General features: G+C 40.9%; 1 protein-coding gene across 1 annotated transcript in view, besides 1 other annotated feature; it reads left to right on the top strand.

The window, feature by feature from the left end:
• Nucleotides 1-13,164, top strand: part of ZNF318 (zinc finger protein 318) — a 33,578-nt gene that overhangs the window by 15,797 nt on the left and 4,617 nt on the right. Inside the window, exons 5-9 of the mRNA NM_014345.3 lie at nt 1,375-1,474; nt 5,226-5,527; nt 10,972-11,175; nt 11,640-11,739; nt 12,943-13,061. Of these exons, the coding sequence (NP_055160.2) occupies nt 1,375-1,474; nt 5,226-5,527; nt 10,972-11,175; nt 11,640-11,739; nt 12,943-13,061 (825 nt within the window). The remainder of the gene's footprint in view (nt 1-1,374; nt 1,475-5,225; nt 5,528-10,971; nt 11,176-11,639; nt 11,740-12,942; nt 13,062-13,164) is intronic.
• Nucleotides 4,114-4,314: a silencer, noted in NCBI's record as "peak5813 fragment used in MPRA reporter construct". NCBI's record gives its function as "represses an SCP1 promoter by STARR-seq MPRAs in K562 erythroleukemia cells {active_cell/tissue: K562}" and the evidence as "EXISTENCE:reporter gene assay evidence [ECO:0000049][PMID:32103011]".

Genomic DNA, 13,164 nt, shown 5'->3' with positions numbered 1-13,164 from the left:
TTTAGAGCAGTAGGTGAAAACTACATCAAGATAGGGAATACATAATAGAAGAATTTTGAGTGGAAGAGTTAATACATACTATTAATTGTAAAGGTGCTTATACCTAGCAACTCACTTTGTTTAGAAACATAAAAATGTAATGTGTCTAATTTGGTTTGCTCATAAAAGTTAAGACCTGGCTGGGCGTGGTGGCTCATGCCTGTAATCCCAGCACTTTGGGAGGCTGAGGCGGGTGGATCACGAGGTCAGAAGATCAAGACCATCCTGGCTAACACGGTGAAACCCTGTCTCTACTAAAAATACAAAAAATTAGCCGGGTGTGGTGGCACGCGCCTGTAGTCCCAGCTACTCAGGAGGCTGTGGCAGGAGAATTGCTTGAACCTAGGAGATGGAGGTTGCAGTGAGCTGAGATCATGCCACTGCACACCAGCCTGGGCAACAGAGCAAGATTCCATCTCAAAAAAAAAAAAAAAAGTTCTGAAGAAAAAAATTAGAGGGCCAGTCTCATTTTTTTCCGGTTAAAAAGTTTTAGCCAATTATTGGGAAGACAAAAAACACTTCTCTTAAGTTTCTATTGGACTTAAATACCCTGAACTTCAATCTTTAGTTTTACTGAAGTCTTTTGGGAAAGGGAATAGGTTCAATGTAGACAAAACTTTAGAGACAGTGTTTGGAGGTCATACACTTCCTCTTTATTTTCCTTTTATAAATCTAGTCCTTAAGTCAGGGCGCTGATAATACATAGGTCTATTATAGACACATACAGGCCTATTATATGCTGGTATAGTATAGACAAGCCATATTTGCTTTTTTTCATTAGGTAGTAGTATAGTTGAAAGATCATGAGCTTTAGGGCAGATATACCTGGATTGTAAATCTACTCTTAATGTGTGACTTTGAGTATTCTACTTAATCTTGTACAACTTCAGTTTTCTGACTATAAAATAGTGAAAATGTGAGGATTAAACAACATGCTACTCTGGGCATACTGCCTATGGGTTATCCCTGGTTTGCAAGGAGCAGTGAAAATAAACAACATGAAATATGTCCCTTACCTATAACACATATGGTTCCTTTATCTATGGTTCCCTTTGGAACTTAGAACCACTATCTAATAGTTGCTATCAGTGCCCTAGATCCTTCCTGCAAAAAACAAACAAACAACCTTTCTGGACAGTATAGTTTTTGAAAAGATGGACAGTTCTATTCTGGAACTTAGAACGAAATATTACTTTGACAGTAAGGTCAGAGCCTGTGTGCAGGCATTTGGATCCTTACATTCAGATAATGTCTAGGAAGAAGGCTTCTGGAAGAGAGAAATAGAAAAGAGAATGTTGGAGGAGATGGACTCTCTTACCACTTTGTATTTTGCAGGTTATTGAAGAGAGGGAAAAACTAAAGAATGACCGGGAAGCCCGCCAGAAGAAGATGTACTATCTTAGGACCGAGTTAGAGCGGCTTCATAAACAACAAGGTATCAGCTGCTTTGCATGACTGCCTTTTTGTAATAACTTGCGTAGGAGACCCAAATTTGGTACTCTCACACAGGTTCAGTAACCTGAAACTTCATTAAAAATTTTTTTTTGACGTAATTAAACTTACAAAAAAGTTGCAATAATAGTGCAAAGAATTCTCAGGTACTCTTCTCCCAGATGATGGTGGTGGTGATGATGATGATGATGATGATGATGATGATGATGATGATTTGAGACGAAGTTTTGCTCTTTCACCCAGGCTGGAGTGAAGTGGTGTGATTTTGGCTCACTACAACCTCTGTCCCCCGGGTTCAAGTGATTCTCCTGCCTCAGCCTCCCAAGTAGCTGAGATTACAGGCACCTGCCACCATGCCCAGCTAATTTTTTTCGTATTTGTAGTAGAGATGGGGTTTCACCATGTTGACCAGTTTGGTCTCGAACTCCTCACCTCAGGTGATCCACCCGCCTTAGCCTCCCAAAGTGCTAGGATTACAGGCGTGAGCTCCCACACCCTGCCAGATTATTAACATTTTAATACGCTTGCTCTATCTTTTTCTCTCTCTCAATTTGTGTGTATGTGTGTGTGTAATTTTTCCTGAACTTTTTTTTTTTTTTGAGATGGAGCCTCGCTCTGTTGCCCAGGCTGGAGTGCAGTGGTGCAGTCTTGGCTCACTGCAACCTCTGCCTTCTGGATTCAAGTGATTCTCAAGCCTCAGCCTCCCAAGTAGCTGGGATTACAGGTGTGTGCCACCACACCTGGCTAATTTTTGTAATTTTAGTAGCAATGGGGTTTCATCATTTTGTCCAGGCTGGTCTCAAACTCCTGGCCTCAAGCAATCCTCCTTCCTCGGCCTCCCAGAGTGCTGAGATTACAGGCATGAGTCACTGCACTGGCCTTTTCTGAACTTTTTAAAGTAACTTGTAGATGTGATGTTCCTTTACTCCTAAATACTTAAGTATTTCCTAACAACAAAGAAGGTACATAACTTTAATACACTTATCAAAATTAGGATATTAGCAGTGATACAGTACTATTATCCAGTCTACCATTCTTACTCATATTTCACATTGTCCCGTTAATGCCCTTTATAGCAAAACAAAGTGCAAGATTATTTATCACATTCAGTTTTCACGTTCCTGTACTCTTCTTTAATCTGAGTGTTTGTATTTCATAACATTAACATTCTGGAAGATAAGAGGTCACATATTTTGTAGAATATCCCTTAATTTTGATTTGTCTGTTTCCTTATGATTAAATTCAGGTTATTCATTTTTGGCGAGACTATCACAGAAATGATGCTGAGTTTGTATCAGGTGTTGATTTGTCCCATTGCTGGTGATGTTAACTTTAATTATTTGGTTAAGGTGGTGTCTGCCAGATTTCTCCACTATAAAGTTACTGTTTTATCCTTTTTAATTAATATGAATCTTATAGAGGAGATACTTTGAGACTATGTAAATATTCAGTTACTCCTCAGACTTTCACCCACTGGTTTTAGCATCCATTGATGAGTCTTGCCTGAGCCAGTTATTATGATAATAGTTATTTAAAAATTTTTTTTGAGACAGGGTCTCGCTGTGTCACCCAGGCTGAAGTGCAGTGGCAGTGGCATGATCTCAGCTCACTGCAGCCTCGCTTCCTGGCTCAGGTGATCCTCCTGAGTAGCTGAGACCATAGGCATGAGCCACCACGCCTGGCTAATTTTTTTTTTTGGCTAGAGACAAGGTTTTGCCATGTTGCCAAGGCTGGTCTCAAAACTCCTGAGCTCTGCAGCCTCCCAAAGTGCTAGGATTACAGGCATGAGCCACTGTGCCTGGCCTGTGATGGTTATCAAATAGTGATTTTTCAAGGTTCCTCATTCCTTCTAGCTTTATTAGTTGGCTTTCCACTGTAAGAGGGAACTTCCTAACCCTCACTCCCATTTGTTTATTCATTTATATGAGTATGAATTCATGGATTCTTCATTTGATAAGTTATAATCTTTTATTATCATTATTTATTTTCATGCTCAAATTGTTCCAAATTTGGCCAATGGGACCCCCTGTGAGTTAGCTCCTGTGTCCTTTCAATATGTCTCCATCGTTTTTGAGTACTTTCTTTTTTTCTTCTTTTTCTTTCTTTCTTTGAGATGGAGCCTCGCTCTGTTGCCCAGGCTAGAGTGCAGTGATGCAATCTCAGCTCACTGCAACCTCCACCTTCCAGGTGCAAGTAATTCTCCTGCCTCAACCTCCCAAGTAGCTGGGATTACAGGCGTGTGCCACCATGCCCAGCTAATTTTTGTATTTTTAGTAGAGACGGGGTTTCACCCTGTTGGCCAGGTTGGTCTCTAACTCCTGACCTCAGGTGATCCGCCTGCCTCGACCTCCCAAAGTGCTGGGATTATAGGTGTGAGCCACCCCACCCGGCCTTTTTTTCTTTTTTTTTAAGAGACAGGGTCTCATTCTGTTGTTCAGGCTGGAGGGCAGTGGTGCTGTCATAGCTCACTGTAGCTTTGAATTTCTGGACTCAAATGATCCTCCCATCTCAGCCTCCCAAAGCACTGGGATTACAGGCATGAACCACAGTGTCTGGTCTTTCCTTAAATTTGGCACACACACACAAAAATGTTCCCTGATGCCTTCCTTTTTATTCCATTTCTTTATGCTTTTAGGAATTCACATACACAGTGAGGAAAAGAACATAACAAGGCTCCTAAATACTGATAGTATGAAAGAACAGAGAGTGGGAGAAGATATAATTGCTTCTGTCTGGGTTTGGACTGTTTAGGGATGAGAAATTGAGTTATTTATCCTGTGAGGATTAACACCAGAGGATCTGCAGTTTGGAACAGGAGATAACATTAAAAAAGCCAGCTGGGTGTGGTGGCTCACACCTGTATCCCAGCACTTTCAGAGGCTGAAGCAGGCAGATCACTTTGAGCTCAGGAGTTCAAGACCAGCCTGGTGACATGGCAAAACCCCATCTCTACCAAAAAAAAAAAAAAAAAAAGATAAACCAGAGGCAAAACCTAAAACTCATTGAAGAAGTTGTTAAAGTGTCCTTAGATCAGATAAAGTCAAATATATTACCCTCTAAATAATTCTTCAGCCCTCTGAAGAGAGGACAACTGCTAAATTCATAGTTACAACACTTATTAATGTTTTTGAGAGACACACACAAAATTATATATACTGTTATGGGAGTTCATGGAGCCCCTGAAGCCTGTCCATAAATCCTTAGCTAATAACCTTTACACAAAAGATAATGTCATAACCCATTCTTTACCTTCATAGAAGCTTCACTTACACCAACCCATGTGGAAGGAGAGTCTCACTTGCTCTTAGAAAAAAAAATTGTTTTTTGAGACGGAGTCTCTCACTATCACCCAGGCTTGAGTGCAATGGCATGATCTTGGCTCACTGCAAGCTCCGCCCCCTGAGTTCAAGCAATTCTCCTGCCTCAGCCTCCCGGGTAAATAGAATTACAGGCGCCCACCCCCATGCCCGGCTAATTTTTTGTATTTTTAGTAGAGACGGGGTTTCACCATGTTAGTGAGGCTGGTCTCGAGCACCTGAACTCAAGTAGTCACCCGCCTTGGTCTCCCAAAGTGCTGGAATTACAGGCATGAGCCACCACGCCTAGCCACTCTTAGAAACGTTTGTGGGCAAAGACTTTGTAACCATAAAGCCCTGACAAATTATTGCTTGTAAATGAGAAATGACTCGTCTTATTTTCCCTGTGCTTCTTTTTGTTGACATTTGATTGCTCAGGAGAAATGCTGCGCAAGAAACGAAGGGAGAAGGATGGCCACAAAGATCCTCTCTTGGTGGAGGTGAGTCGGCTTCAGGATAACATTATGAAGGACATTGCAGAGCTACGGCAAGAGGCAGAAGAGGCAGAAAAGAAGCAATCTGAACTGGACAAAGTGGCTCAGATCTTGGGAATTAACATCTTCGATAAATCCCAGAAGTCTTTAAGTGACAGTAGAGAGCCTACAGAGAAGCCTGGGAAAGCAGAAAAATCTAAGAGCCCAGAAAAAGTGTCATCGTTCTCAAACTCCTCCTCCAACAAGGTAACAACTCAATTTTTCCATTTCTATCATCTTTTTTTTCCCTTAGACTCCTATGGTTTTCTAACCATTTTCTTAACTTAGGTTTTCAAACTGTTCTTACTCTTGTTAATTATTTTCTTACAGTATAGATCAGAGTGTGGTACTCCTCTTCAGAATTTCAGCATAGTTCCTTGTTGCCCACAAAGAATCCTAAATCCTCAGTATTCAGAACCTTCTATGTTCTTGTTCCAGCATTTACTCCCTAACCCACTCCTATCTGGCTTCTGATCTTCTCAGAACTTGTATATACCCTTTTGGGGGGTTCATATTTAGCAACTATGTTCATGTCTAGGTCACTACTGTGTTGCTAAAGTCAGTAAATACATTTTACTTCTCAAATGAGCAGCATTTGAGGCCAAGAATCACTTTCTCCTACAAATACTCTTTTCCCTTGGCTTCTGTCACACTTCTTTTCCTCGTAGTACATTGGATGCTCCTGCTTAGTATCCTTTGCTGTCTCTCTTGCATAATCTTTAAATTTTTGAGTTTCTCGGGGCTCAGTCCTTGCCAGAATTTGCTCTTTCTTCCTAGGCCATTTCATCCAGTCCTATGCTAAAATGCCATGTGACAATTGCCAGTTTTATGTTCTAGTCAAATGAGTCTTCTGAGTGTCTAACAACGTAACTCACCATTTCCACTTCATTATCTCATAGGCACTTGAAATTGAGCATGTCCTAAACTAAATTAATGGTTGTGCTCAACCTCCTTCCAACTTTTTCTTTCTCCATTGTTATGCATTCTCAATGAATGGCATACTGTCCGACAGTTTTCATGCCAACAACTTAAAAGTCACTCTCAGTGCTCTGCTTTCCCTAACTGCTCCATATGCAATCAATTACAAATTCTGTCAGGTCCCTCTCCAAAGTAAATCTCGATTCCATGCACCTTATCATCTCCATTGACATTCAAGTCCAAGCCACATCAGTTTTTGCTTATGTTGCTGTGTTAATTAACTCTTTTTGCACATATAGCCAGTGATCATGATACTTAATCCCTTGCCTACCTCCTCAACCTCATTTCATGCCTCTTTCCTTCTTGCTGACTGTAGTTTCATTACTAACCTTTTCATTCCTCAAATGTATCATCTCCTCTCGTGACCTCACATTTTCTGTTCCCTTTCTTTACCATGCAAATCGAACTCTTTCCTTATCTACTCTTCTAACTCCAATTCATCCTTTAGATTGGATCTTAAATTACTTCCCTGACATCCTTCTCTGATTCCCTAGACTGTTAAATTTGCCTGATATACACTCCCATAATATCTTGTAATTTTCCTTCTTAACATTTATGACAGATCTGATTTTATAATTAAATGTGTTCCCCTAATTTGATTTTAAGGTTCAAAAGTTACAGGGACTTTATATGTGTCATTGTTCAATATGATTCCCAATATATAGCCCAGGGCCCAGCACATAGTAATGAATACTGCTGAAGAAACATTATATTACATCTTACGCTGCGTCACCTCAAAATGCAATTTTCCGGATGTGCAATATCTGGTATTACACCTCTCTGGTTTTGCATAAATAATCCTATTAGCCTGGAATAATCTTTCTCCCAACCCCACTCACCCATTAAAGCCCAATTTGGATACCACCTCTTCCATGAAGAATTTCCAGAATTCCACCCAGATCTAGTCAGCCTTCTTTAGCACTCTGTAATTTGTTTCTTTGTAAAATTTATTTCGTTGTCTTATTTAAAGACTCTTCTTACGTCTGTCTCCACTAAATGAGAGCTGCTTTTTTTTTTTTTTTTTTTTTGGTTAAAGATGGGGTCTTGCTATATTGCCCAGGCTGGTCTTTTGAGACAGAGTTCTTGCTCTGTCACCCAGACTGGAGTGCAGTGGCGCAATCTCGGCTCATTGCAACCTCCGCCTCCCAGGTTCAAGCAATTCTTCTGCCTCAGCCTGCCGAGTAGCTGAGATTACAGGCACGTGCCACCACGCCCGGCTAATTTTTATATTTTTAGTAGAGACATGGTTTCACCATATTGGCCAGGCTGGTCTCAAACTCCTGACCTCGTGATCCGGCCTCCCAAAGGGCTAGGATTACAGGCGTGAACCACCCTGCCCAGCATTTTTTTTTTTTTTTTTTTTTTTTTTTTGAAACAGAGTCTTATTCTGTGGCGTGTGGCGTGATCTTCGCTCACTGCAACCTCTGTCTTCTGGGCAATTCTCCTACCTCAGCCTCCTGAGTAGCTGGAGTTACAGGCGTGTGCCACCACACCCAGCTAATTTTTGTATTTTTAGTAGAGACGGTTTCACCATGTTGGCCAGGCTGGTCTCGAACTCCTGACCTCAGGTAATCCACCTGCCCCCGCCTCCCAAAGTGCTGGGATTACAGGCATGAGCCACTGCGCCCGTCCCCAGGCTGGTGTTGAACTCCTAGGCTCAAGTGATGATCCTCCCGCCTCAGCCTCCCAAAGTGCTAGTATTACAGATGTGAGCCACCCCACCTGGCCCGAGAGGATAAAAGAGGAATCTTTTTTATCTTTGTGTTTCCCATTGCATACAATATGTCTAGCACATAGTACATCCTCAGTTAATATTGAGAGGTAGGAAAGAGAATATATTCTGTGTTATCACCCAAGCTCTATTTTTTTCCATGTCTTCCTAGGAGAGTTTTCTTTCTCAACCAGGTAGGCCTAGTCTTTTATACCTGGGTCTTCAGTCTAGGTAGGGCCTTTGATGGGAGAAGAATTTAAAAGCTCTGGTCCTTTGTAATTGACTTATACATTGGATTTCTATTCATGTACGAACCCAATGATAATCTGTCATCTTGATTTGGGTGCGTCTTCATGGTCTCTGAAACTAACGGATATGTTACAATTCAGTTTTCATCTCAGCAGTAAGGAATATTATGTCCACAGCCTTTCTTTCCTACCTGTCCTTGGTATTTCTTCTTTCTTTACCTCTCTTTAAAATGTATAGTTGGTTTGAGATTTTCTTTCCCTTTCTGTTCATTTCAGAAAAGCACATACAAACTTGTAATTTCATCTACCTAGAGACAACTGTTATTATTACTTTTTTTTTTTTTTTTTGAGACAGGGTCTCACTCTGTCACCTAAGTTGAGTGCAGTGACACAGTCATGGCTCACTGCAGCCTCCAACTCTCAGGTCCAAGCATTCCTCCCACTTCAGGCTCCCCAGTAGCTGGGACTACAGGTGCTCACCACCACCACACTTGGCTAATTTTTGTATTTTTGTAGAGTTGAGGTTTCGCCATGTTTCCAAGGCTGGTCCCGAACTCCTAAGCTCAAGTAATCTGCCCACCTCAGCCTCCCAAAGTGCTGGCATTACAGGCATGAGCCACTGGGCCCAGCCGAGACCACTGTTATTAATACCTTGGTGTATAATATTATTAATACCTTGGTGTATGTTATTCCAAATACATACACCAAGGTATTATTATATATTCCAAATACATTAATTTATTATTAATACCTTGGTGTATGTTATTCCAAATACATACACCAAAGTATTAATTCTGTCCATCAATTCACTTAACAAATATGTATTGGTCACCAATAAAGTGTCAGGAACTGGTCTAGATATGGGAAGTATCACACTGAACAGTATAGACAAGGTTCATATTCTCATTAAATAGCAGAAGATGATAAATAAATAAGTCCATGTTAGGTAATGAGAAGTGCCTAAAAAAAGAAAACAGGATAAGGAGTATAGAGTGGTTAGAGAAAGTATTTTGGATAAAGTGATATTCAACGCTGTATGCCGATTTACATATCTTTGTTGATTATTCAAGTGTATTTTATTAGTTTTCTCAGTATATCATGAACATCTTTCCATGTCAGTAAATACACTTCTATAATACCATTTTTAACAACCTTATTTTTTGTTGTTTTGGTTGCATGGTTAAGCAAAATTTATTTAACCAATCAAATCACCTGTTGTTTGACATGATAATTTCCATAGGATAAATGTCAAGGAGTGAATTGCTGGGTTAAAGGGTATACAGTATTTTGAGGTATGTAATGTATTCCTAGATTATCTTCTAGAAGATGGTGCCAGTTAATACTCCCACCAGGAGTGTATGAACTCTCCCATCCCCTGCCTGTCTGGTGTGATTTCTTTAGTGATTCTTGAATAGGACTCAGGTAGGGAAAGAGTATCTTTGAAGCCCCAATTGTTTCCCTTTCTGTATCCTACCTTTTTCCCTGCGTGAGCCAATATTCCAGGTACCCAGCTCTTCATCTTGTGTACTATAGAACCCCATTCATAGTGAGCCTCTGAGTTGCAAAAATTATCTTTTTTTCCTGTGCCTTACTCCTGAACATTAACCAAAATTCTCATTTCCTGAGTGCCTTGTTCCAGCTTGGTAATAAATTAATTCATATTAAAGTATTTGCTGTTGATAACTTTAATATTAAGAAGTTGATATATTTTTAAAAAGGATACATGTTAACGGTGTTAAAATTTTTTTTTTTTTTTTTTTTTTTTTGAGACAGGGTCTCACTTGTTGCTGAGGCTGGAGTGCAGTGGCACAATCTTATCTTACTGCAACCTCCGCCTCCTGGGTTCAAGTGATTCTCGTGCCTCAACCTCCCGAGTAGCTGGGAATACAGGTGCACACCACCATGCCCGGGTAATTTTTGTATTTTTAGTAGAGATGGGGTTTCACCATGTTGGCCAGGCCTGTCTCGAACTCCTGGCCTCAAGTGATCTGCCCACCTCGACCTCCCAAAGTGATGGGATTACAGGTGTGAGCCACTGCACCTGGCCTCTAAAGTTGTTAAATTCTAAAAGTGATATTTTAGGCAGTTAGGAATGTTTTTCCTAGATTCCTTTAAATCATTCTACATAGATGACTTTATCTATGTGTAGTTGTATAGTCTACTTTATCTATGTACACCAACCCTTCTCTCCAGTTTTTCATACCAGGATGCATGTGATGAGTTCACTATCACCTATTTTCTGCATTTGCTTTGCTTAGCCTGTCAATTACCTTTTCCATATTGGTTTTTCTTCCCTCCCTAGCTGTCATGATTTTCAAATTTAACTGTTTAGTTGCATAGGTAACATATTCAACATTTACTAAAGGGTATACAGTGAAGAGACTCCTACCCATCCTTGTTCTCCACTTCCCTTCCCCAGAGGCAGCCAATGTTTCCACAACCTTGGCTGTTCTTCTAGAGATATTTTAGGATATGTAAGTAAATATATTGCCATTATGATTTACTTTTTATGCTGTGATAGCACTATGAAGTCAAATAGTTCTATGTCTTAGAGACATGTTTCTGTTAGGGTTCCCCCCAACTTGTGCAGCTTTAAACATTGGAAATATGGTCATATGGCCCTATTTCTATTATTATGGCCACTTACTATTTCTAACAGAAGACAAGTCTAGATTGCCTTGAATTCCTTGTAAGTACAGATTTTTCCCCTCTAGGAATCAAAAGTAAACAATGAGAAGTTTCGTACTAAGAGCCCCAAGCCTGCCGAAAGCCCCCAGTCAGCCACTAAGCAGTTGGATCAGCCCACTGCTGCTTATGAGTATTATGATGCTGGCAATCACTGGTGCAAAGACTGCAACACCATCTGTGGGACCATGTTTGATTTCTTCACTCATATGCACAATAAGAAGCACACACAGGTTGGTATCCTACTCTCTGTTATTTTCACTCCCACCCTCACTCTCTTCAAACTTCTATACCCCTATCTGCATTGCAAAGCTGGAAAAGGAAACATTCTCATATGGGCAGGAGCCCCAGTCTGAAGAGCCAAGAGACACCAACAAAGGAGACACCATCCCCAGGGCTCAGTCCAGGGGACTTGGCTGTAACTAAACACCATGACAAGTGTAAGTGAGGTTTCTGCCTCTTTTGATTCCTTGAGTACCTGATTTTTTTGTTTCATTTTACCTTTTTCTGGTACTTGCTCTAACATGTGTTTACCTTTTCCACAGGTGATTTCCATTAAAACAGTTGGCAGAGGGGGTGGGGGTGGGTAGCTGGGGGCTTCTGGTCCCCTGGTCTTATTATGGGGGAAAAAAAAGAGAAAAGTGGGTCATTGAGCTTTTAGTGCTGTTGTGTGAGCACCTCTGCCTCTTACAAATAGACACTGGATCCCTACAACAGACCTTGGGCTTCAAAGACCCAGAGTGAGGCCAAGCAAGATGCCATAAAGCGCACTGACAAGATAACTGTTCCTGCAAAAGGTATGTTTCCTTTTTGCCACCTTTGTGGTTTCCTTACATTCAGTTGAGGAAGAGGTGTCCCTGAACTAACATTGTAGGAAGCAGCATAGCATGAGACAGCCATTCCTTTTAACAAAGCCGTAGGAATGCCTTCTGTGTACAAAACAGTGTACTAGGTCCTGAAGCTATAAAGAGATCTATAAGACCATGATCTCTACCCATATGGCCAAAAATCTATTCACAGATGTTAAACATAGACATGTCACTTAAAACAGAATTGTCTTTGTCATTGGCTTATGGGCCCAAAATCTTACTTGTTTGGAATCCAGGTTAAAAAGGACAGGAGATGCAGTAATTTAACTGCCTTTTCAACTAAGAACTATACAATATTTTGAGTCATTGTTATTAAGGGGTAAGTGGAGAAGCAGAAACTTCCTTTGTCTTTAAACTTCTCAATTTCTTTTTTTTTTTTTTTTTTCCTCTGAGATGGGGTCTCTCTCTGTTGCCCAGGCTGGAGTGCAGTGGTGCTATCTCTGCTCACTGCAAGCCCCGCCTCCCGGGTTCACCCCATTCTCCTGCCTCAGCCTCCCAAGTAGCTGGGACTACAGGCGCCTGCCACCATGCCTTGTATTTTTTGTATTTTTAGTAGAGACGGGGTTTCACTGTGTTAGCCAGGATGGTCTCGATCTCCTGACCTCGTGATCTGCCCACCTCTGCCTCCCAAAGTGCTGGGATTACAGGCATGAGCCACTGTGCTCAGCCCATAAACTTTTCAATTTCTTACCTTCACAAGTAGCTAGTGCTGCTACTATACCCTTGAGATTTACAGAAGATAGTTTCCTCAGTAATTAATACCAACATGAGAGATCATCATAAAATGGTAATGGGCTATTTGGGAGTATAGTTTTTATATTTCCTGAGATGCTTGGTGCTAGTTAGGGTTTGAGGAGACTCAGCAACAGGAATTAATCTGGCACAGGAAACTCCTAAATTAACCAGTATAATGTTCCCAAGAGGTAGAAGAAATAGAGGACTGTAGTTCAAGCCTTAGGTTGGAAAGACTGTGCCATTGGGATTCATCTAAATACTGCTTCTGACTTCAAAGTGGGTAAGGCCCTCTATACTGTAACCATTTTACTGCAAAGGGGTGGTGGGATTTCCATTGGTTGCTGTCATTCTGGGTGGAATCGACTTATTTCCTTGACTTTTTTCTACTTCTTCCAGGCTCTGAGTTTCTGGTTCCCATCAGTGGATTTTATTGCCAGCTCTGTGAGGAATTTTTGGGGGATCCAATTTCTGGGGAGCAACATGTGAAGGGTCACCAACACAATGAGAAATACAAGGTTGGTCTTTGTAGTAGGCTGTGGAGTTTCCAACTTTTCTGAAGTAATTATTTTGACTTTGTCAAATGGCGTCCGAGCCAGAAAAAGCCATTGACACTTCAAA

This window comes from Homo sapiens, chromosome 6 (genome assembly GCF_000001405.40).
Source record: "Homo sapiens chromosome 6, GRCh38.p14 Primary Assembly".
In the NCBI taxonomy this organism is placed as follows: Eukaryota; Metazoa; Chordata; class Mammalia; order Primates; family Hominidae; genus Homo; species Homo sapiens.
The sequence above is the reverse complement of the archived record's forward strand: the minus strand, read 5'-3'. Positions and strand labels throughout refer to the sequence as shown.